Raw genomic sequence first — 20,923 nt, forward strand, 5'->3', positions numbered from 1 at the left:
GCTCTTGACACAAAGCAAAACACACAAAGCAAGCAAACACCTTCAGAAGAAATCAAGTGCTTCTCTTCCTGCTTAATGAAATGCTTCAAGATACTGTCCACAGAATACCTACATCCGAATTACCTGTGTTATAAGGGACTAGTCTCTATAACAAGCTACGCAGCTAATTCTGATATATATGAAAGTTTGAGAATCAATGGAAAAGTGCTAAGGGTGTGAGTCAGTTTCAGCTCCTCTATAAGTCTTATGTATGGCTTGGGGCAAGTCTCTTAATCTGTATTTCAGGTGTAAAATGAGGATAGCAGTACACATTGTGAACTATCGTAGTTGTAAAGATAAAATGAAAGACCATAAGAAAGTGCTTCAGAATACATAAATGTCATTATTTTTCTCTATTCAGAAGGGAATACATGGCATATAATATCTTAAATCTAGTTTTTATAAACTATTAGAAGAGTAAGAAAAACATGATACTGAAATGGCTTTTCTGTTACAAGTTGTTCCCTTCACCTTTAATTTGTACATCTGAGTTGCTGAGGTGTAAGATGGTAAGCTACCTTTAATATTTGAGACATGGGGGAAAAATTATTCACCTTATTATGAGGCCAGTGCTGTGCCTACATAATAATGTTTAATGTGCTTTCCATTTTTAAAAGTTATTCCATACATCTCATTCAATCCAAATTGCCACCCTATGAGGTGATAAGACTGTAAGGATTTCCCCCTTTTATATGTGTTAGTAGGCATTTGGGAGTTGAAGGACTAACATAAAGTTACACAACTTCTATAAAGAGAACTGAGGCTAAAACTCAGGTATTTAGCTTCTCAGCATTTTCCATTAGAAATGTTCCAATAAATGAGGCCAGACGCGGTGGCTCATGCCTATAATCCCAGCACTTTGGGAGGCTGAGACAGGTGGATCAGCTGAGGTCAGGAGTTCGAGATCAGCCTGGCCAACGTGGTTAAACCCTGTCTCTACCAAAAATACAAAATTAGCCAGGTGTGGTGGCACATGCCTGTAATCCCAGCTACTTGGGAGGCTGAGGCAGGAGAATCACTTGAACTCGGGAGGCGGAGGTTGCAGTGAGCTGAGACTGCGCCATTGCATTCCAGCCTGGGCAACAAGAGCGAAACTCCGTCTCAAAAAAAAAAAAAAAAAGTTCTAATAAATGGCATACTTTCCTGTTTTATACTTTTTCAGTCTGTGATAAAATATTTTGAAGAATTCTGCTCTAGCTAGACATGATACAATGGTTACTTTATTTGTACAAATGACACAATATACACACTAGAGCCACATCATGTGCACCTTTAGCTTATACAAATTTAACAAAATGAGCTGAGCAAAAACTAAAAAATCAGTTTTAATGGTACAGATCATTCTGCCCACCCATGTACTCAATGTATGTGTGTGTGTGTATATATATATATACACACACACACACACACATACACACACACACACACACACACACGTATAAGCCCTGGAGGGAGTGTGGGATAAGATACATGCAGCTTCCTTTCCCTCGGTCAATGTCCAGTGTGTTTCAAGCACTCTAACTTCTAATGGAAGTAGTATTGACTTCTTTAAAAGCAGCGGATTTCACTCATGCCAAATTTTTATGCTCAGGCTCACTGAGGTTGAGTAAAAACGAGAATTCTAACTTTTAAATAGAGATGCTGTCAGCCTATGACATTTAATGCCTTCTTAGTTTCAGTTCTTAGTTTCAACACTGGTCAGAAAATGCTGAGTGTCTGTGTGTGTTGGTGATAGAGAAAGAGGCTCAACCCAGTTTCAGTGATCTTCTTGTTTTCACTAATTAAAAGGATTGCTAATACTCAATCCTTTAGGCAAAGACACAGGAAACCAGGCATTCTTGTGCTTTGTTGGTGGGAGTATAAACTCCTTTAGAGAGCAATTTAGTGATATTTATTTTAAAAATTTAGATGTATGCATTCTTTGACCCAGGAATTCCACTTCCGAAAATGTATCCCCCAAAATACTTGTTTACATGTAAAAATATCTATGTACAACAATGTTCTTATATTATTAATAATACTGTAAAACTTCAACAAAATGTCCACCGAGAAGTGTCTCATTAAATAAATGATATTGAGGCCATACAACAAAATACTATTAGATGAAAAAGAATGAAGCAGAGCTGTACGTGCTGGAAGGTAAATGGAAAAAAGAGTTACAAAACAGTGGAGTGGACATCTGTTACTTTTTGTAAGGCTCAGCTTCCATTTTTCCTGCTTCTCTTTATAGGCTCTTTTTTTTTTTTTTCCTTTTTTTGCAAAATGACTCCCCCTTATCTGGAATCAGAGAGAGTGTTGAATAAGGCATAAGCACATGACCCAATCAAGTTATATCTCTCCTAGGAATTTTAATCTCGAACAGAAACGATACAAAGACAAAAAGTGGTTGGAGGAGGTACACTGAAATGGCAGTGCCTGGAGAACTGCACATGAGCCCTTGCTCTCTGTGTCATGGAAGTTGCTTTACCAGCGTGGCTCTTCATGTTTTCCCGCTCAGTTCTTCAGCTCTTTACCTACCTCATATCCTTCCAATAAATTCCTTTTCAGCCTTAAGTCAGCCAGAGTTTATTTCTATTGCTTGCAAATCAAATAATCCTACTGATACAAAAGTAATCTCATTTTTGTAAAGTCATATATAATATAGCTGTACATATGTATATAGAAAAAAACCTAGAAATATACATGCCAAATTAATGGAGACTGTTTGAGGGTAGAGATTGGGTGGAATGGGATTGTCGAAAAGGTGAAGATGGGCTGATGCTGGTCAAATGGTAGAAAGTTCCAGTTATGCAAGACGAATAATTACTGGAGCTCTAATGCACTCACTGCATGGTGATGATAGTTAACAATGTTGTATTACATGCTTGTAATTTGCTAAGAGGACAAGTCCTAAATTAAATCTCCCTACTCAACCCCATGCACACATGCACACAAATGTAACTATGCGGAGGTAATGGATATGTTAGTTAGCTTTCATGTGGTGATTATTTCACAATGTATACATATATCAAAACATCAAGTTGTATACCGTAAATACATACAATTTTTATATGTTGATATCTCAATAAAACTGTTAAAAAGAACTTTCACTACTTAGCTTTATGTGTTTCTGTTTTCGTCTATTTTCAATGTTCTTGAGTTACTTTTGTAAATAAAAAAGCTTTGAACATTTTCATGAAGGTGGGCTCTGGAATAAGACTAAACAAAAGAAAATCTAGACTTTTAAGAAAAATACTCTTACAGAGTTATTTTTTGCTCAACTGGCTAGAACCTAATACTAATGAAGTCACCAATATAGTTTCTATCATTTTTAGGGAGTAATTATCTTCTGTAACTTTTATTGACATGAATTGTCCCCTTAGCCTCAGACTTCCTCCAAATATCTATTATTAGAATAACAATAAATGTTACATGAAAAGACTCCCAAATGACTTATTTCCAACTGGCCATTAGCCTTTTTCATTTTGATTTTTTGACTTCTGACAAACTCAAAATGTGCAGTACTGAATCAGCTTGCTTGCTTTCCTTCCTTCCTTCCTTCCTTCCTTCCTTCCTTCCTTCCTTCCTTTCTTTCTTTCTTTCTTTCTATTTTTTTGAGACAGAGTTTCACTCTTGTTGCCCAGGCTGGAGTGGAATGGCGCGATCTCGGCTCACTGCAACCTCTGCCTCCCAGGTTCAAGTGATTCTCCCTCCTCAGCCTCCCAAGTAGCTGGGATTACAGGCACCCACCACCACACTTGGCTAATTTTTGTATTTTTAGTAGAGACAGAGTTTCACCATGTTGGCCAGGCTGGTCTCGAACTCCTGACCTCAGGTGACCCACCTGCCTTGGCCTCCCAAAGTGCTGGGATTACAGGCGTGAGCCACCACGCCCACCCCCACCCCCCCCCCTTTTTTTTTAAAGACAGTCTCACTCTGTCATCCAGGTTGGAACGCAATGGCATGATCTCAGCTTACTGCAAGCTCTGCCTCCTGGGTTCAAGCCATCCTCCCACCTCAGCCTCCCGAGTAGCTGGGATTACAGGCGCCCACCACCACGCCTGGCTAATTTTTGTAGTACAGATGGGGTTTCACCATGTTGGCCAGGCTGGTCTCGAACTCCTGACCTCAAGTGATCCGCCTGCCTGAGCCTCCCAAAGTGCTGGGATTATAGGTATGAGCCAGCATGCCCGGCCTGAGTCAGCTTCTTACCAAAACCTCTCTTTAATCTCTTCTCTGTTTCTACCACATCTTCATTTCCCCTAGTGTTAAGCCCTAGAAATAATTTTGATTCCATCATCTTTTCTCTCATATCTTTTTTTTTGAGACGGAGTCTCCCTCTGTCACCCAGTCTGGAGTGCAGTGGCGCAATCTCTGCTCACTGCAAGCTCCGCCTCCCGGGTTCACGCCATTCTCCTGCCTCAGCCTCCCGAGTAGCTGGGACTACAGATGCCTGCCACTGCGCCCAGCCAATTTTTTTGAATTTTTAGTAGAGACGGGGTTTCACCATGTTAGCCAGGATGGTCTCCATCTCCCGACCTCGTGATCCGCCCGCCTCGGCTTCCCAAAGTGCTGGGATTACAGGAGTGAGCCACTGCGCCCGGCCTCTCTCGTATCTTAGTATATGTCAAGTCCTGTTTACTTTAAACTTCAAATGGTGTTTTGAATCTACTGCTCTGACAGCCACTACCACCAGCCTTGTCCATATCCTATTTCCTGCTACTAGTCTCTTCTCTCTAATCCTGTGTTTCTCAAGCAGTTTTTTTTTTCATCATTGCCCCTATAAGGAGGCTTTCTAGGCTTTTTCTCCCTTAATTATCCCCATCACTGAAATATTAATACCACAGGTAAACTGTGTATCTGTTTATGCACTGTGGTCCTTTGAAGCTGTAATAAGACCTAGGTCACCGCACCCCAACAGGAACCCACTTTCACCCACTGGGGGCGTTATCACCCCCATTGAGAATCTATGTTCAAATCATTCTGTGTATTACTGTCAATCTGGGCTAATCTCTTTAAAGTACAATTTTAGCCATATCACTGCCCTTCTCAAAAATGTTTAGCAGGCTGGATGTGGTGGCTCATGCCTGTAATCTCCACACTTTGGGAGGCTGAGGCAGGCAGGTCACTTGAGCTCAAGAGTTTGAGACCAACCTGGACAACATGGTAAAACCCCCACCTCTACTAAAAATATAAAAATTAACCGGGCGTGGTGGTGTGTGCCCGTAATCCCAGCTACCTGGGGGGCTGAAGTGGGAGGATCGCTTGAACCTAGGAGGTGGAGGTTGCAGTGAGCTGAGGTTGCGCCACTGTACTCCAGCCTGGGCAACAGAGCGAGACTCTGTCTCCACAAAAAAATGTTCAGCAGCTCACAGCTCTCCCTCTTCCAATAAGACAGCATGCAGAAAGAGCCTGAGCCTGGCCTACATGTGTTCAATACATTTTAGTTTGCTTCACCCTTTTTCCTTCTCATTTCAATGCAGCTCTCTAACAAGGTTCTATCAATTCACTTTTGTATTAACTGTGCTGGAAGTGCTTGTTTCCCTCATGTAGGCTAACACTGGGCTTTTCTCAGACTTTGATACTGTTACCACTGTGCTAGATCATTTATAAAGTTTTCTCTGCTTACTCCAGGTCACAATGATTTTCTGTTGAACACAGTATTCTGTATTCCTCATCTCAGTGAATGCCAGCATATCCATCCAACCTCCCAAATTAGAAACTTGGAAGTCACTTCTGACTTCCTCTTCTGAAATTCCCATATCTATTTGGTAAGGATTAACTATCAGTTCTGAGTAAGAAATGTCACTCAGATCTAATTGCCTCTATCCCCACAGCCTCTTCCAGGCTAGAACTGGAGAAAGAGCATCCTGGCTGACCTCATTGCACTTTGCTTTTCATGACTTCTATCTCTCTATCATACTGAAGCACTAATTCTTTTGTTTGTTTGTTTGTTTGTTTGAGATAAGTCTCACTCTATCACCCAGGCTGGAGTGCAGTGGCACGATCCTGGCTCACTGTAACCTCTGCCTCCTAGGCTCAAGTGATTCTCCTGCCTCAGTCTCCTGAGTAGCTGGGATTATAGGCGTGCACCACCATGCCCAGGTAATTTTTGTATTTTTAGTAGAGACGGGGTTTCACCATGTTGGCCAGGTTGGTCTCAAACTCCTGACCTCAAGTGATCCTTCTGCCTTGGCCTCCCAAAGTGCTGGGATTACAGGCATGAGCCACCATGCCTGGCTGATGCACTAATTCTTCAAAATAAAGAAATGTCTCATCATGTCATTACCCTGCTTAAAAATCTCTCATGGCCACTGCCTTCAGGCTAAAAGTCAAATGCCTTGCCTTAAACAAGGGTCTCTACATTCTGCTTCCAACTAATATTGTTCTGCCCGCCACTCTATATACACAGAACTCTGGTCACACTCATCTTTTCATCAATAGCAGAGTCATCTAAGCCCTCTCATGATTGTATGCCAATGATACTTTATTTCTATGTCTAATATGTCACCTAACATATTGTATTGTAATTAGTCTGTTACATGTTTTTTTCTGCTCTTAGACTCATAGCCATTTGAAGGCAGGGAGTACAGCTTCTTGGTATCCCTGGTGTCTAGCACTCACTCTGAGAGTACTGGATGATGGAATAAATGCACTTAGTTATAGAGCATCATAATGTTACTTAAATGTTTTATGCGGAGTCACAAAAATACAAGTCCTTGACAAGTAGGCTGAAAACAAAAATTCTCGATTCTACTTCTTTTGATTCTTCATTGTGTGATATGGCTTATAACGGGAGTTCAATAAAATTCTATTACATGTATTTAGATGGAGTTGATTCCTTGTTCTGTGAGTGGGCTTCCTCTTATCAATAGTAAGTTCATTCCCTGACTTTTTTTGTATACCTACTCTGTGTTAGCCACTGTGCTAAAAGGCTAGAAAGGCTAGGGATATAGGAATGGACCAGGCAGACATGGTCACAAGCCTCACATAGCATATTGTCTCCTATGTCAATGACAATAGTTACGAGCGTAATAAATACCTCCCGAATGTTCTGCTGCTCCACCTCGTGCCGCTTGATCATTATTTTCCGCTTGAAGAAACGACAATTTTTGTCGTAGTACAGTCTCTGTTGAGTGAGAAGGTGGGCTTCCTCTTCAGCCTGTGTGTGCTGCAAGTTCTCTTTATGTTTGGAGATCCGCTCTTGCTTCTCTTTCTTGGGTGTGCTATGGTCCTCATTCATTTCCTAAAAAGAACAGACAAAAACCAAGCCAGCCTTACTAAATGAAAGGGACTGTAACAGCTTATTGCAACTGAAGATTAAGTTATTTGGAAAGCCAATGCAGATGTAAGCACAGAAAAGCTTAGTGTTGCACATCCTTCCCCCAATTTTTTTTATTTGCTCATTAATTGAGTATTAAGTGAGAGGGACACTTGTGAGTTTCTGTATCTTTGGTTTCTCACTAACAGAAATTATTTGTTCACTCATTCACTCAACACAAACTTAACAAGCTCCTATCATGTGACAGGCAGTGTGCAAGATACAGGACACAAAGGTGAGTAAAAGGCCATGATAACTGCCACCGTGTGTCTTTATTATAGAATCAAAAATTAAAGAACCGCAGAAATGAACTAAAAATTACTGTGATCACTGCTTTGAAGAGGACGTACTTGGCCCTAGAAGAATTTAATAGAAAATATTTAATCTTGGTAGTAACTAAGAAAAATTATTCAGAGTTAACCAGCGGAAAAGGAAAGGGAAGAATACTCTCAGTAGAGAAAACAGCATGTGCAAAACCCTAGGGGTTGGAGAGGAAACATGGTGCCATCAAGGGCTGAAAGAAGGTCAGAGGGGCTGGTGTAACGTAATATGAGATAAGTCTGGCCAGGTAGGCAGGACCATTGAGGCTTTACAGGCCAATATAAGGACACTGATCTTTAGTATAGGAGAAATGGATTTCATGCATGTGAGAGTGTCATAATGAGATGCATTTGAAAATGATTACTCTGGCTGCCATGGGGAGAACAGAATGAAGGAGGCAAGAACATATGAAGATAGCTGGGAGGCTACTGGAAAGGTCCAGGCAAGAGAGATGGTAGTAGCTTGGACAAAGGAAGTAGTGACAAGACTGAGAGAAGCAGACAGATTCCAAAGAGAAGAGGTGACTATGCAAATGTCACTAGTTTGAATTTTAGGAAAAAACATTCTTCACTTGGGATTATAGAGTAAACAAACCATCTATATTTTCCAAGGACAAAATTCACAATTTTTCCAGAACATCTGAGCAAAGGAAACAAAGCAGTGAATCAGGACTGTTAAGATGTTAAACTGTGGTGAAAAGAAGAAGACTACTTGTTAAGAAAGTACAGTATACTCTTCTTTCTTCATTTGGTTAGCTACTCACTCAGCTAAAATCTCCTTTAGTTGCTAACACCTATTTTACTTAATGTTTTGTGATGCCGATATCATAGACTATTTTATCTCTTAGCCAAGAAGTCTCTGTAAATCAACTTTCAACTATCCTGTTCCAGTGAAGCTGTAAGTGAAATCTTAGAATCAACAAGAGAAAGTGTTGTTTTCAGAGTAAGCTGGAGTAAGCTGGGATCACAAGAGGAAGCCTGGGTCATTCATCTCTTCATGCCGTGATGTCACTACTTGGTTGGCCATTAACCACTAGACTGCAGACCCCGATTCAAATATAATCACAAAAATTTACTCCAAAATCAAGAATAAATTATTTCTGGACCATCTATCATTCTGTATTAGATACTCCTGTTATCTATCAAAAGTGGTGATAATGAAAAAATTTTTTTGTCATTCCAAGGACAATATCTGTAAGTATATAAATATCTAAATATATATGCCACTTTAAATAGTCTGAACTAAGCTTTACTTCAGAAAAAGTAATATTAGCTTTTGCATAGAATGGTCTAGTGGGGTTATCTCAAATTGGCTTCTGGCTTTTTTTTTTTTTTCATGAGCATGTTCAAAGACAGAAGTGTAGGCCTGTGGGCTTTGGCACTCAAGTCTGAGTATGGTGAGCCAAAAATTGACGTATGCTTGAGGACTGAGTGGGGACTCTTAAATGCTGTTCTGTGGGAAAATCTTCTAGAAGGTAGAGTTCATGAAATTTCCAAATATCTCAATGTTACAAAAACTCAAAATGGTGGCCATAGTCATAAAGTATGGCCTCCAGTGGATGAGTGGACGCGTGGAGTTAGAAATAAGGAAGGTATCTATTTATTTTATTTTACGATTTTTTTTTGAGACAGAGTCTTACTCTGTTGCCCAGGCTGGAGTGCAGTGGTGTGATCTCGGCTTACTGCAACCTCTGCCTCCTGTATTCAAGCAATTTGTCCTGCCTCAACCTCCTGAGTAGCTGGGATTACAGGCGCCCGCCATCAAGCTCAGCTAATTTTGTATTTTTATAGAGATGTCGTTTTACCATGTTGGCCAGGCTGGTCTTGAACTCCTGACCTCAGTTGATCCACCCACCTTGGCCTCCCAAAGTGCTGGGATTACAGGCATGAGCCACCGTGCCCAGCCAAGGAAGGTATTTAGAGTGGAGAAAAACCTCAAAATTTCTTAGGCTATCTCTGATCCAGCAACATCATATTATGATATAAAAATTAAGCTCAAGCCAATAACTCAGAGAAAATGGAAAGAATGTGAACCTTCTGAGTTGGGCTATTCTCTCTACACCCGGGTTTTCTAGACCTTATGGTGTCAGAGATTCTACCCATTCAGCCAGTGTAAATCAAATACAATTTTCTGTTAGGTCTAACAATTACCAGTGGCTTACCTGGGCAGGACAAAAAATCCCTAGGCCCACCCCAACCCCCTTGGTTTCACTTCCTAACTAAAAAAGAATTGGAGGAGAACCTTGCTGAGTCCTCTATTGCTAACCTACAAATCAGAATATGAGCTCAGGCCAGGCGTGGTGGCTCACGCCTGTAATCTCAGCACTTTGGGAGGCTGAGGTGAAGGATTACCTGAGGTCAGGAGTTCAAGACCAGCCTGGCTAACATGGTGAAACTCTGTTTCTACTAAAAATACAAAAAATTAGCTGGGCATGGTGGTGCACGCCTGTAATCTCGGCTACTTGGGAGGCTGAAGCAGGAGAGTTGCTTGAACCCGGGAGGTGGAGGTTGCAGTGAGCCGAGACTATGACATTGCACTCCAGCTTGGGCAACAAGAGCGAAACTCCATCTCAAAAGAAAAAAAAATAAAGAATATGAGCTCAAACACATGATTTTATATATACTAAAACAATGCGCCATATTGAATTTTATTAAACCTTAATACACTTAGTAAGTCTACAAATAAGAAATACTAAGGTTTATGAGAAGAAAAGTCCATGGAGCTGCAGACGATTCACCTGTAAGTACTGGTAAAAGGAGAACTGAAGAAATTTGAGCTTTCAGATCAAAGTGCAGTTCTTTGGGAAGAACTCCTAAGTCCACTAGTGGTCTTCAACCAAATATTCCAGAATCAATCATTCATTTACCAAATATTCATGTGTACAGGGCACAGGGATACAGTTGTGAGCAAACAAAAACATGGTCTGTGCTCTTATGATGCTTACCAGTTAGTAGAGTAAGTAGCTCAAATAATCATTAAACAAATGTATAATTAAAGGCTCTAGTTAGGAAACCAGAGACATCTGTCTTGGCTGAGGCAGTTAGAAAAGGCTTCCTTAGGAAAGTGACATTTAAGTTAAGATCCTAATAACCAATCCCGCATTGCACAAGGAGGAGAAGTAGGAATTAACCGAGCAAAATTGTGGTCAGGGAGGGCTTGGGGGTAGGGAGAACATCTTGGTGGAAGAAACAGTATGTGGAAAGACCTTGGGGAAGGGTGGAGCTTGATAAATTTGAGGAACTGAAAGGTGACCATGGTGGCTGGTGCAGCGAAGAGTGGGTTGAGGGTAGGGGCAGCATTAGTGTGAGATGTCACTGAACGAGTAGGCTAGGAGGGGACTGTGTAGGGACTTCTAGGATTTTGACTTGTCCTAAAAGCAATGGGAAGACAATGGATTTCAAAACTATGCAGTAGAATGACCAGATTTATGGTTTGAAAAGATCACTTTGACTGATGTGGAAAATACATAGGAAGAAGACAAGAATGGTTTAGAGTTATATCAATGGTTCTTGAAATGTGGTCCCTGAAGCAGTAGCAGCAGCGTCATCTGGGAGCTTGTTAGAAACACAAATTTTCAAACTCTACCCCAGAAAATCTAGGGATAGATTTTTAAAATCTGAAAATCAGTCAGATAAAAAAATAAATAAATAAATAAAATAAAATCTGAAAATCTGGGGGTGGGTTAGCAATCTGTTTTAATAGCATTTTAGGTAATTTTTTTTTTTTTGAGACAGAGTTTTGCTCTTGTCGCCCAGACTGGAGTGCAGTGGTGCGATCTCAGCTCACTGCAACCTCTGCCTCTTGGGTTCAGGTGATTCTCCTGCCTCAGCCTCCTGAGTAGCTGGGATTACAAGCACGTGCCACCACGCCCAGCTAATTTTTGTATTTTTAGTAGAGACGAGGTTTCACCATGTTGGCCAGGCTGGTCTCCAACTCCTGACCTCAGGTGATCTGCCTGCCTTGGCCTCCCAAAGTGCTGGGATTACAGGTGTGAGTCACTGTGCCCGGAAAGCATTTTAGGGTATTCTAATGTAAAGTTTGAGACTCACTGGACTAGAATATTGATCACAATGCAAGATGAGTGAATGTTAAGTTCCAACCATTCTAATGGCAACTTGGTGAGAACAAACATTGGTATCCTTACCTCTTTTATTTTTTCCTTACAAATCTTATACTGCTTCTTCTGACTTTCTAAGAAAGTTGTCAAATCTTTCTTCTGCTGGGCCAAGATCTGTTGCTGGAACTTCTTCTCATCTGCTGCAGCTACCTTTGCCTGATAAAATAACAAATACAATGTAGGATGAATCTATTCTTTACACAGAATTCAGTGATCTATATTCTCCAGTGCAGTAAGACAGTCCATGAGTGCTAATAATGAGACATTTTTGAACAAATATTAAAAAATAATTGTTTTTCTGATTTTCTTGTATCTTAAAGAAACACAAAAAAAAAAACACCAGAAATTTTCACCATTAATAAATTCTGGGCTGGGTGCAGTGGCTCATACCTGTAATCCCAGCACTTTGGGAGTTCGAGGCAGGCAGATCACCTGAGGTCGGGAGTTTGAGACCAGCTTGACCAACATGGTGAAACCCAGTCTCGACTAAAAGTACAAAATTAGCTGGGCGTGGTCGTGCATGCCTGTAATCCCAGCTACTCTGGAGGCTGAGGCAGGAGAATCGCTTGAACCCAGGAGGCAGAGGTTGCAGTGAGCTGAGATCACACCACTGCACTCCAGCCTGGGCAACAAGAGCAGAACTCTGTCTCAAAAAAAGAAAAAAAAGAAAAAGAAAAAGAAAAATACATTCTGAATTATGGGAAAAATATGAAGGTGAACCATAAACATGCTTTACTGAACACAAAAACATTCATGGGATGAAAGGAGACCTAAGAATAACATTTTTTTTTGAGATGAGGTCTCGCTCTGTCGCTCAGGCTGGAGTGCAGTGGCTCGAGCATAGCTCACTGCAGCCTAAAAATCCCGGGATCCAGCGATCCTCCTGCCTCAGCCTCCTGAGCTGCTGGGACCACAGGCGTGCAGCACCAGTCCTGGCTAAGTATTTTTAAAAAATGATCGTAGAGACTGGGTCCCACTTTGTTGCCTAGGGTCATCTCAAATGCTTGGCCTCAAGCTATCCTCTCTCCTCAGCTTCCCAAAGTGCTGAGACTACAGGCGTGAGCCACCATGCCCGGTCAGAACTAAGGATTTAGTTCTGATATAAATCTAATAAAGGTTTTTACATCATATTGTTGATAGCCCAAAGGTTAAGTTGTAAAAATGTATAAATAACCATGCCTGGCCAGTTTTATTCCAAGAATCAAACTCTAACTGATTAACTATTCCAACTATCAGATTTTCCAGTGGTATCAACTCAAGTGTAATTGGAACGCTAACGGCATTTTGTTTTCTTTTTTTTTTCTGAGACAGTCTCCCTTTGCCACACAGGCTCGAGTGCGGTGGCATGATCTCGGCTCACTGCAACCTCCACCTCCTGCGTTCAAGTGATTCTCATGCCTCAGCCTCCCCAGTAGCTGGGATTACAGGCACAAGCCACCACATCCACCTAATTTTTGTATTTTTAGTAGAGACAGGGTTTCACCATGTTGGCCAGGCTGGTGTTGAATTCTTGAACTCAAATGATCCACCTGCCTCGGCCTCCCAAAGTACTGGGATTACAGGCATGAGCCATTTTATTCTCTTAGGCACCTGCTGCAATCCACAACAGTCACACATCATGACATTTTTTGGGGTCCTAAATGAATAAAACACATACTATATAAAAGGTCATCCAATAAATACTGGCTCCTGAAAGTGACCAAATCTGTTTCTGGTAACCACTGGGTGAAGGATATACGTAAGACGAGCGACTTGGGAGATAGAGGGGGAATTATGCTTCATGGCTCATGGCTCTTTTTACGTATCTTTTTCACCTGCAACTTCCATGAAGGACAATTCTTCCATTATGAACAATTCTCACAACATATTTACCAAGTCAAATCCCAAGAAAGAATCTGACTGATTTATTTAATCAACATCATCCTTGTCTGGGCAGAGGTTTTCATGCCAGACTGCCTCACAGATTGATGGCTGTTGGGGGAAATCTTTCTTCTACAACCTGATTGTTCCTTCCATGTGGAGACAGAGAGAGACAGAGAGACCAAGAGAGACAGAGAGCAAGCTCAATTATGGAAACACCCTGGAACTGTGTCCCCAGTCACTGCATGCCCAGGGAGCACATGTCCACCACATTTTTCAACACTATGGAAGTCTCATGGGGGTGGCAGGAAAGGTGACTCAGTTTTAGCACTGCTTGAGCAGGCAGATCTGCTTAATTTTGTTTTCCTGCAGACATAAATCACCTCTTGTACCTAACATGTATCAGTAATAGATGATATTATGGGGAGGGAGGAGGGATAGCATTAGGAGATATACCTAATGTAAATGACGAGTTAATGGGTGCAGCACACCAACATGGCAGATGTATACATATGTAACAAACCTGCACGTTGTGCACATGTACCCTAGAACTTAAAGCATAATAATAATAAAAAAAGATGATATTATGACTATCTGCCTTACCCTTCTGTTTTTTTTTTTTTTTTTTCAGTCGGAGTCTTGTTCTTGTTGCCCAGGCTGGAATGCAATGGCGTGACCTCGGCTCACTGCAATCTCCGCCTCCCGGGTTCAAGTGATTCTCTTGTCTCAGCCTCCCGAGTAGCTGGGATTACAGGCACCTGCCACCATGCCCAGCTAATTTTTTGTATTTTTAGTAGAGATACGGTTTCACCATGTTGGCCAGGCTGGTCTCAAACTCTTGACCTCAAGTGATCCACCCACCTCAGCCTCCCAAAGTGCTGGGATTACAGGCATGAGCCACCATGCCTGGCTGGTTTTTTTTTTTTTTTTGGAGATGAAGTCTCGCTCTTGTCACCCAGGCTGGAGTGCAATGGCACAATCTCAACTCACTGCAACCTCTGCCTCCCAGGTTCAAGCGATTCTCCTGCCTCAGCCTTCTGAGTAGCTGGGATTATAGGCATCTGCCACCACGCCCAGCTAATTTTTGTATTTTTAGTAGAGACGGGGTTTCACCATGTTGGCCAGGCTGGTCTCGAATTCCTGACCTCAGGCGATCCACCCACCTCGGCCTCCCAAAGTGCTGGGATTGCAGGCGTGAGCCACTGTGCCTGGCCTTTTTTTTTTTGAGACAGGGTCTCGCTCTGTCACCCAGGCTAGAGTGCAGTGACACAATCTCGGCTCACTGCAACCTCTGCCTTCTGGGCTCAAGCAATCTTCCTGCCTCAGCCTCCCAATTAGTTGGGACTATAGGCATGTGCCACCACACCCAGCTAACTTTTGTATTTTTTGTGGAGACGGGGTTTTGCCACATTGTCCAGGCTGGTCTTGAACTCGTGGGCTCAAGAGATCCACCCACCTTGGCCTCCCAAAGTGCTGGGATTATAGGTGTAAGCCACCACATCTGGCCTTGTCTGCTTTTAAAATTAGTTTAGAACGTGGATGGGGACGAGAGATGTTCCCTAGAAAATCCAAATAATTGCCGGACTCATTATTTGCTCCTTTTGCTCAGGGGCTCATCAGCTGTAGGCAGGGATTATCACTACTATAAGAGACTATTTGTAAAGCAGTTTTCTTTTGAAGAGGACTGTGGGTATGGCAGATACAGTAACAGACTTTTGTTGTGCACGTTCTCAGAAGATGGAAGCATCTTGTTTCCCTTTACTTGTACCCAGGCCACCATCAAGGGACTGATACTCAGAATATACATAAGTATAATTTTTTTTTTTTTTTGAGAAGAGACTTCCTCTGTTGCCCAGGCTGGAGTGTAATGGCATGATCTTGGCTCACTGCAACCTCTGCCTTCCAGGTTCAAGCAATTCTCCTGCCTCAGCCTCCTGAGTAGCTGGGATTACAGGCATGTGCCACCATGCCCGGCTAATTTTTGTATTTTTAGAAGAGATGGAGTTTCACCATGTTGGCCAGGCTGGTCTCGAACTCCTGACCTCAGGTGATCTGCCTGCCTCGGCCTCCCAAAGTGCTGGGATTACAGGCGTGAGCCACCACGCCTGGCCTCAGAATATATTTGAATGGACAAGAATGTAACATATATTTTCAGTTGCTATTTTAGCTCTGAACGACAATTTTACATAGCCCTATAAAATCTAGAAACCCAATTTTGCCACCCCGGAAACAACAATTTTCCTCCATCCCCCACTCCTGCCTCTTGCTAACATCCTGCCACTGACCCCAACAGGCTGGGCTTGGTTGTGGCATGAAGGCGTGTGTGCACATACTGACCTCCTTTTCTATGATAGCCACTTGCTTCTTGGCCAGCTTCTCCAGCTCGATGGACGAGTTGTTGGCATGCGTCTCCACCTCCTTCTGTAGCTTGAGGCGGTGCTCGTCCATCTCAGCCTTCAGCTTGTTCTCCAGGGCGATCAGCTGCTTCTGGTGCTGGCGCCGCATCCGCTTATAACCTGACATCTGTTCCCGCAACTCGTTCTCCTGCTCATGCTCATGGATCTGTCGTGTAACCTGAATTGGGTTAGGAAACAGAACTCAGGTAACCAGGTTCATGGGAGACAAGCTTTCATGCAAAGTAGAACGGCCCTGTGGCATAATTTTATCCATCACCTTCACCATCAATTTACCTACTGTTTAGTGAATGCTCACCCGTAGGGGGCACTGTGCTAGATAGATACTCTTTATGTATTTTATCCCTAGTCCTCAAAACCATCTCATTCACTCATTCATTTCATTCATGAGGTAGGTGATAACATCTTAGTTTTATAGTTGAAGAAATTGATTCTTGAAAGAAACTCTTTATTCAGGCCGGGCACGATGGCTTACGCCTGTAATCCCAGTACTTTGGGAGGCTGAGGCAGGCAGACCACTTGAGGTCAGGAGTTGGAGACCAGCCTGGCCAACATGGTAAAACCCCGTCTCTACTAAAAATACAAAAATTAGCCAGGCATGGTGGTGGGCACCTGTAATCCTAGTTACTTGGGAGGTTGAGGCAGGAGAATTGCTGGAACCCGAGAGGCGGAGGCTGCAGTGAGCTAAGATCACTCCACTGCACTCCAGCCTGGGTGACAGAGACTCTGTCTCAAAAAAAAACAACAACAACAAAAAGAAATTATTTATTCAGTCAAAATATGTTTACATATTTTTGATATACCATCACATATATTACATGTTCACATTAACACAGCTAATAAGGACTGGATTGGGAATCAGGCCCATCTCTGTATAACTCCAGAGCCATGTTATTTCTACTGCACCAAGATTTCTCACCAACACTACTGACAACGAGCCCGATAATTATCTGTTGTGGGGGCCGTCCTGTGCATTGCAGGATGTTTAGCAGCATCCCTGGCCTCTACCCACTAGATGGCAGTAGCACCTCCCACCACATGACAATGAAAAGTATCTCCAGATATTGCCAAATGTTCCCTTGGGAACAAAATTCCTCTAGTTGAGAACTACTACACTGGTTTGTTTTGTATATGTGTGTGTGTGTGTGTGTGTATATATATATATATATATATATATTTTTTTTTTTTTTTAAGGATCATGTCTCTAACAGTCATAGACCTTTTAAATTAGTCTGAACATGATTTATTTCCTATTCCTAATATGAAGAGGTGAGTATGAGATCAAGAGATCTCTTAAATCATGTCTCCCCCATCCCCTTCTCTACAAAAGAAATGTTACCAAATTATAATACATTCACTCACTCTCCTAAAGAGGACAAAGCATTGCTATGATTTTTGGAAGGCTACTTTTCTTAGTAACTTTTCCTTAACTCATTTTCAAGTGAACATCCAACAAATTAAAGCTTGTAAATGTACATTTCAGCACCTCTTGCTCATTTCTATTAAATCTTTTGTGATTTTTCCAGTCCTTCCTTCAATTTATCTTCTCTCTTTATTTTCCTGATCACTTCCTCCCTATTTTTCCTATTTTAGAAAAAAAATCTTAATTCCAGGATTGTAACTTTAGTCTTGTTCTTCACTAAGTGATTTGGTCACTCCTATCTACTGTAAGGCCCATCTCCCCAGCCTAACACCCAACCAAGCTTTACAGGAAATTTTCAAGCTGCTATTAATTTTCTGTACTATTTTCAGTTTATGGGTTAAAATACATTTTATACAAAGAAGAGTTTGTTTCTCTGCTCTTTTTAGAAGGTGGCCCTGCATACTAAATTGAGTCCTTACTAACAAGAGAGTGCTGTTCTGTAACTAGATAGTATTATCAAAGTACACCATTAAACATTAGCCAAACTTTGAAACCTTTCCAGTTGAAACTAACACTGGGTTTCATATTCATTTCTCTTTTCTGAAGGATAATACTCTTTCAAGTATTAAGAATAAGAGCAGAGGATATTTTAAGACCAAAAAAGGATAGCATCACCCAAAAGGCACCTAACCCTCTAAAGAAAATAAATGATCTATTTTATTATCAGAAAATGTGTTTTTTTAATGGACATAATTCAAGATGAAAGGAGGAAAAGAAGTAGTTTGAAATATATGTATCAATTTTACTTCTTCACGCTTATATGTTTCTGAAGTACAACTTTAAGGAAGAAACAATTCTAATCAATGGAAAGGATACCATTTAGTCCTTTCTGAATTCAACTATTTTTCAGAAAAATATGGCAGTAAAGTATCAGGGTTAGGGTAATGAATTTTAGATATGTTTTAGCTAGAAACTTTTTCTTATTTTAGCATTCCTTCTTTAATCAGATTCCCAAAGCTGAGGCATGGCACACTCTAAGCTATCATGACACATTTAAAACTTGGCATAAGCATTGGCTTACAGCCAATAAAATATTCTCAGGATGGTCATTTCCCTAAACCAGGATGCCTAAAGATAAAAGGGAAATGAGTTGTGTCAAGAAAATTTTCTATTTCAGTTGGTGGGTGGGTGTCTGTAAAGAGGGTGGCTTTCTACTTGTACCAGATCACATACAAGGTGATCTGGTACAAGGATGTGGCAAAGAAAATTTACAGAGCTCAATCTGCTATCATTGTACACCACTGAATTCCAGGAGAGACATTTTGCTTTTGAATGCTTCCCATAATGTGGATAATTACCTTCTTAAACTCCTAATATCACCTTTCATTTGTCACAACTAAACTTTCCAAGTTTCAAATTGTCTTTTTGGGTATATATATAGAGATACTAAGCTTTATAATTCCATGCTCAAGCTGGATAGATGAATTTAAATAAAAGTATAACCAGATATTTCAATTGAAAAGTCTAACATGAAATATACAAAAAATATGATATTTACAGTTATATGTGCCTGTGTGTCTTAAGTGTACACTATGAGTTTTAAGAATACACCTTTTGGTCAATAAAATAAAAAATAATAGCTGATAACTTTTTCATGCATATGGTTTAAAAAGTGCTTTCACATATAATTTACCTCTTTAATTTTTAGAAGGCCTTGGATTCCTATGGTTCTTGAATTGCCTGAGGAAATTCATATCACCAAGGCAGAAAAAGAGTGACTATTTTCTGTTATAAAGTAATAGAGGGAATCAACACCCAAAAAAGTCAAAGCTAGAGAGGGTGGTAAGTCTAAATTACAAATTGAGTAAGTCTGAAATGGGAGAAAGTTATAAAGATGTAGTAACTGTAGTTTTTACAATGGCAGTCTCAAAAATGTGATCAACTAAAAGTGGGCAGTACCACCTTGCTCTACCCAGTGGATTGTGTGGAGAAAAACCTCATCTATCTCTTACTATATAATTGACCTTGGGCAAATTACTTAACCTCTTAAAGTCTCTCAGTTTCTTAATGTGTAAAGAGAGAGGAACTACCACTGTCTTCCTCAGGGTCAGAGGACTTTCTCATGTGAAAGTGCCTAGCAGGGTGTCTGACTCCTAGGAAATGCTCAACACATGCTGGTTTCCTTCCTTCTGATGCCAGGCTCTGCGAAGCATGTCCCTTGGCCCTCCACTTAGTATTTCTGGTGATGGAGACACAGAGCACAAGTGGATCCAGAAGAAGGGGCACATTTAAGGAAAAAAAAAAAAACTAGCTGTATCCAGGTTGTGGATTATAAAATTATGTATAATTTCTGAATCTGAATTATTACTTATTTCATGTATCTAGAATATGAAAAATAAACAAATAATAAATAATGTGCCATGAAAAGGAAGACCAAAACTTTTTTTCTAAAGGTTCCTATAGCTGTTCAATGCTACTTTATTTAATTCCAGCAAAATTCGGCCCTAAAACAAACCACTTCATCTGAAGTGCAGAGTGTCCCTACTGTGTACAAAACACTGCACTAGAAGGGTAATAAGCAACTTCCTGAACATAAAACAAGAGCATGGTGGCTGATGATGTTACCCTCTTAAGAGATCAAAGCCAACTTACAAGATTAATAATATGTAGGAATCAAAATGATGCATATGATAAAAGTGGCCACCTCAGCACTTAGAACAAATGAAATTTATAGCAAGTTCTTAAAAAGAATACAGTGAGTCACATTTTGGCATTAGAAACTTAACATTCTATTCTTTAGAATACCTAAGGAAAAACTGTTTTTTAAATTTTTGCTAAAAGTAATGACTGATAACAGGCAATTCTGCATTTATAAAAGAATATGTTACATGAGGAATTCTGAAATGCAAACTTATAAATCCAAATTCTCATGTGATAGCAAGGCTGGAGGTGACCTCATTCATTCGTTCATTCATTTATTCAATACACATTTATTGACAGACTTTGACCATATGGGTTGGGCATGTAGATTGGACAGCATAAGTGAGAAATGGTATCAGCAATGACCTTAGTGAGTTAAGAAGCCAAGAATAAGTAAAGAGATATGCAATATTTTGATAAGCATCCTCTGGTATACTGTCCAGGAAGAGAACACATTTTCAAGCATTTAGAAACAGGATGAAACAGTAGCATTTACTGCTGAGGCTCTCATATTTTTATTTTTAGGTATCAAATTCATTCACGTATCCAATTTCACAATTAGCTGAATTATTAGGGTGCATTTTAAAAACTCCAAATGAAGACTCTCTATGAGCTTTTCTATCGAATCTGGCAAAGCGAAGTAAAAGACTCTATATTTGCATGAATAGAACAATAATACTTTTCTCCTACATGCCTCCTTGGGAATTCCCCTATCACACCCTTCTCCCTGACATGTGTTCTAACATAAATTCGCCTCTGTAATGCAGTCACAGGTGAATTTGTGTTAGAACACACATTAGGAAGAGGGG

General features: G+C 40.8%; 1 protein-coding gene across 12 annotated transcripts in view, besides 2 other annotated features; it reads right to left on the minus strand.

The window, feature by feature from the left end:
* Positions 1 to 20,923, minus strand: part of TAOK3 (TAO kinase 3) — a 223,107-nt gene that overhangs the window by 15,596 nt on the left and 186,588 nt on the right. For all 12 annotated transcript variants that reach the window (NM_016281.4, NM_001346487.2, NM_001346493.2 and 9 more), the window contains 3 exons: positions 15,975 to 16,211; positions 11,805 to 11,933; positions 7,061 to 7,264 (listed from right to left, as the gene is read on the minus strand). In NM_016281.4, coding sequence (NP_057365.3) covers positions 7,061 to 7,264; positions 11,805 to 11,933; positions 15,975 to 16,211 — 570 coding nt within the window. The remainder of the gene's footprint in view (positions 1 to 7,060; positions 7,265 to 11,804; positions 11,934 to 15,974; positions 16,212 to 20,923) is intronic.
* Positions 1,500 to 1,549: a silencer, noted in NCBI's record as "silent region_4924". NCBI's record gives its function as "represses an Ori minimal core promoter by ATAC-STARR-seq in GM12878 lymphoblastoid cells {active_cell/tissue: GM12878}" and the evidence as "EXISTENCE:reporter gene assay evidence [ECO:0000049][PMID:35858748]".
* Positions 1,790 to 1,899: an enhancer, noted in NCBI's record as "active region_7107". NCBI's record gives its function as "activates an Ori minimal core promoter by ATAC-STARR-seq in GM12878 lymphoblastoid cells {active_cell/tissue: GM12878}" and the evidence as "EXISTENCE:reporter gene assay evidence [ECO:0000049][PMID:35858748]".

This window comes from Homo sapiens, chromosome 12 (genome assembly GCF_000001405.40).
Source record: "Homo sapiens chromosome 12, GRCh38.p14 Primary Assembly".
NCBI classification, from domain to species: domain Eukaryota; kingdom Metazoa; phylum Chordata; class Mammalia; order Primates; family Hominidae; genus Homo; species Homo sapiens.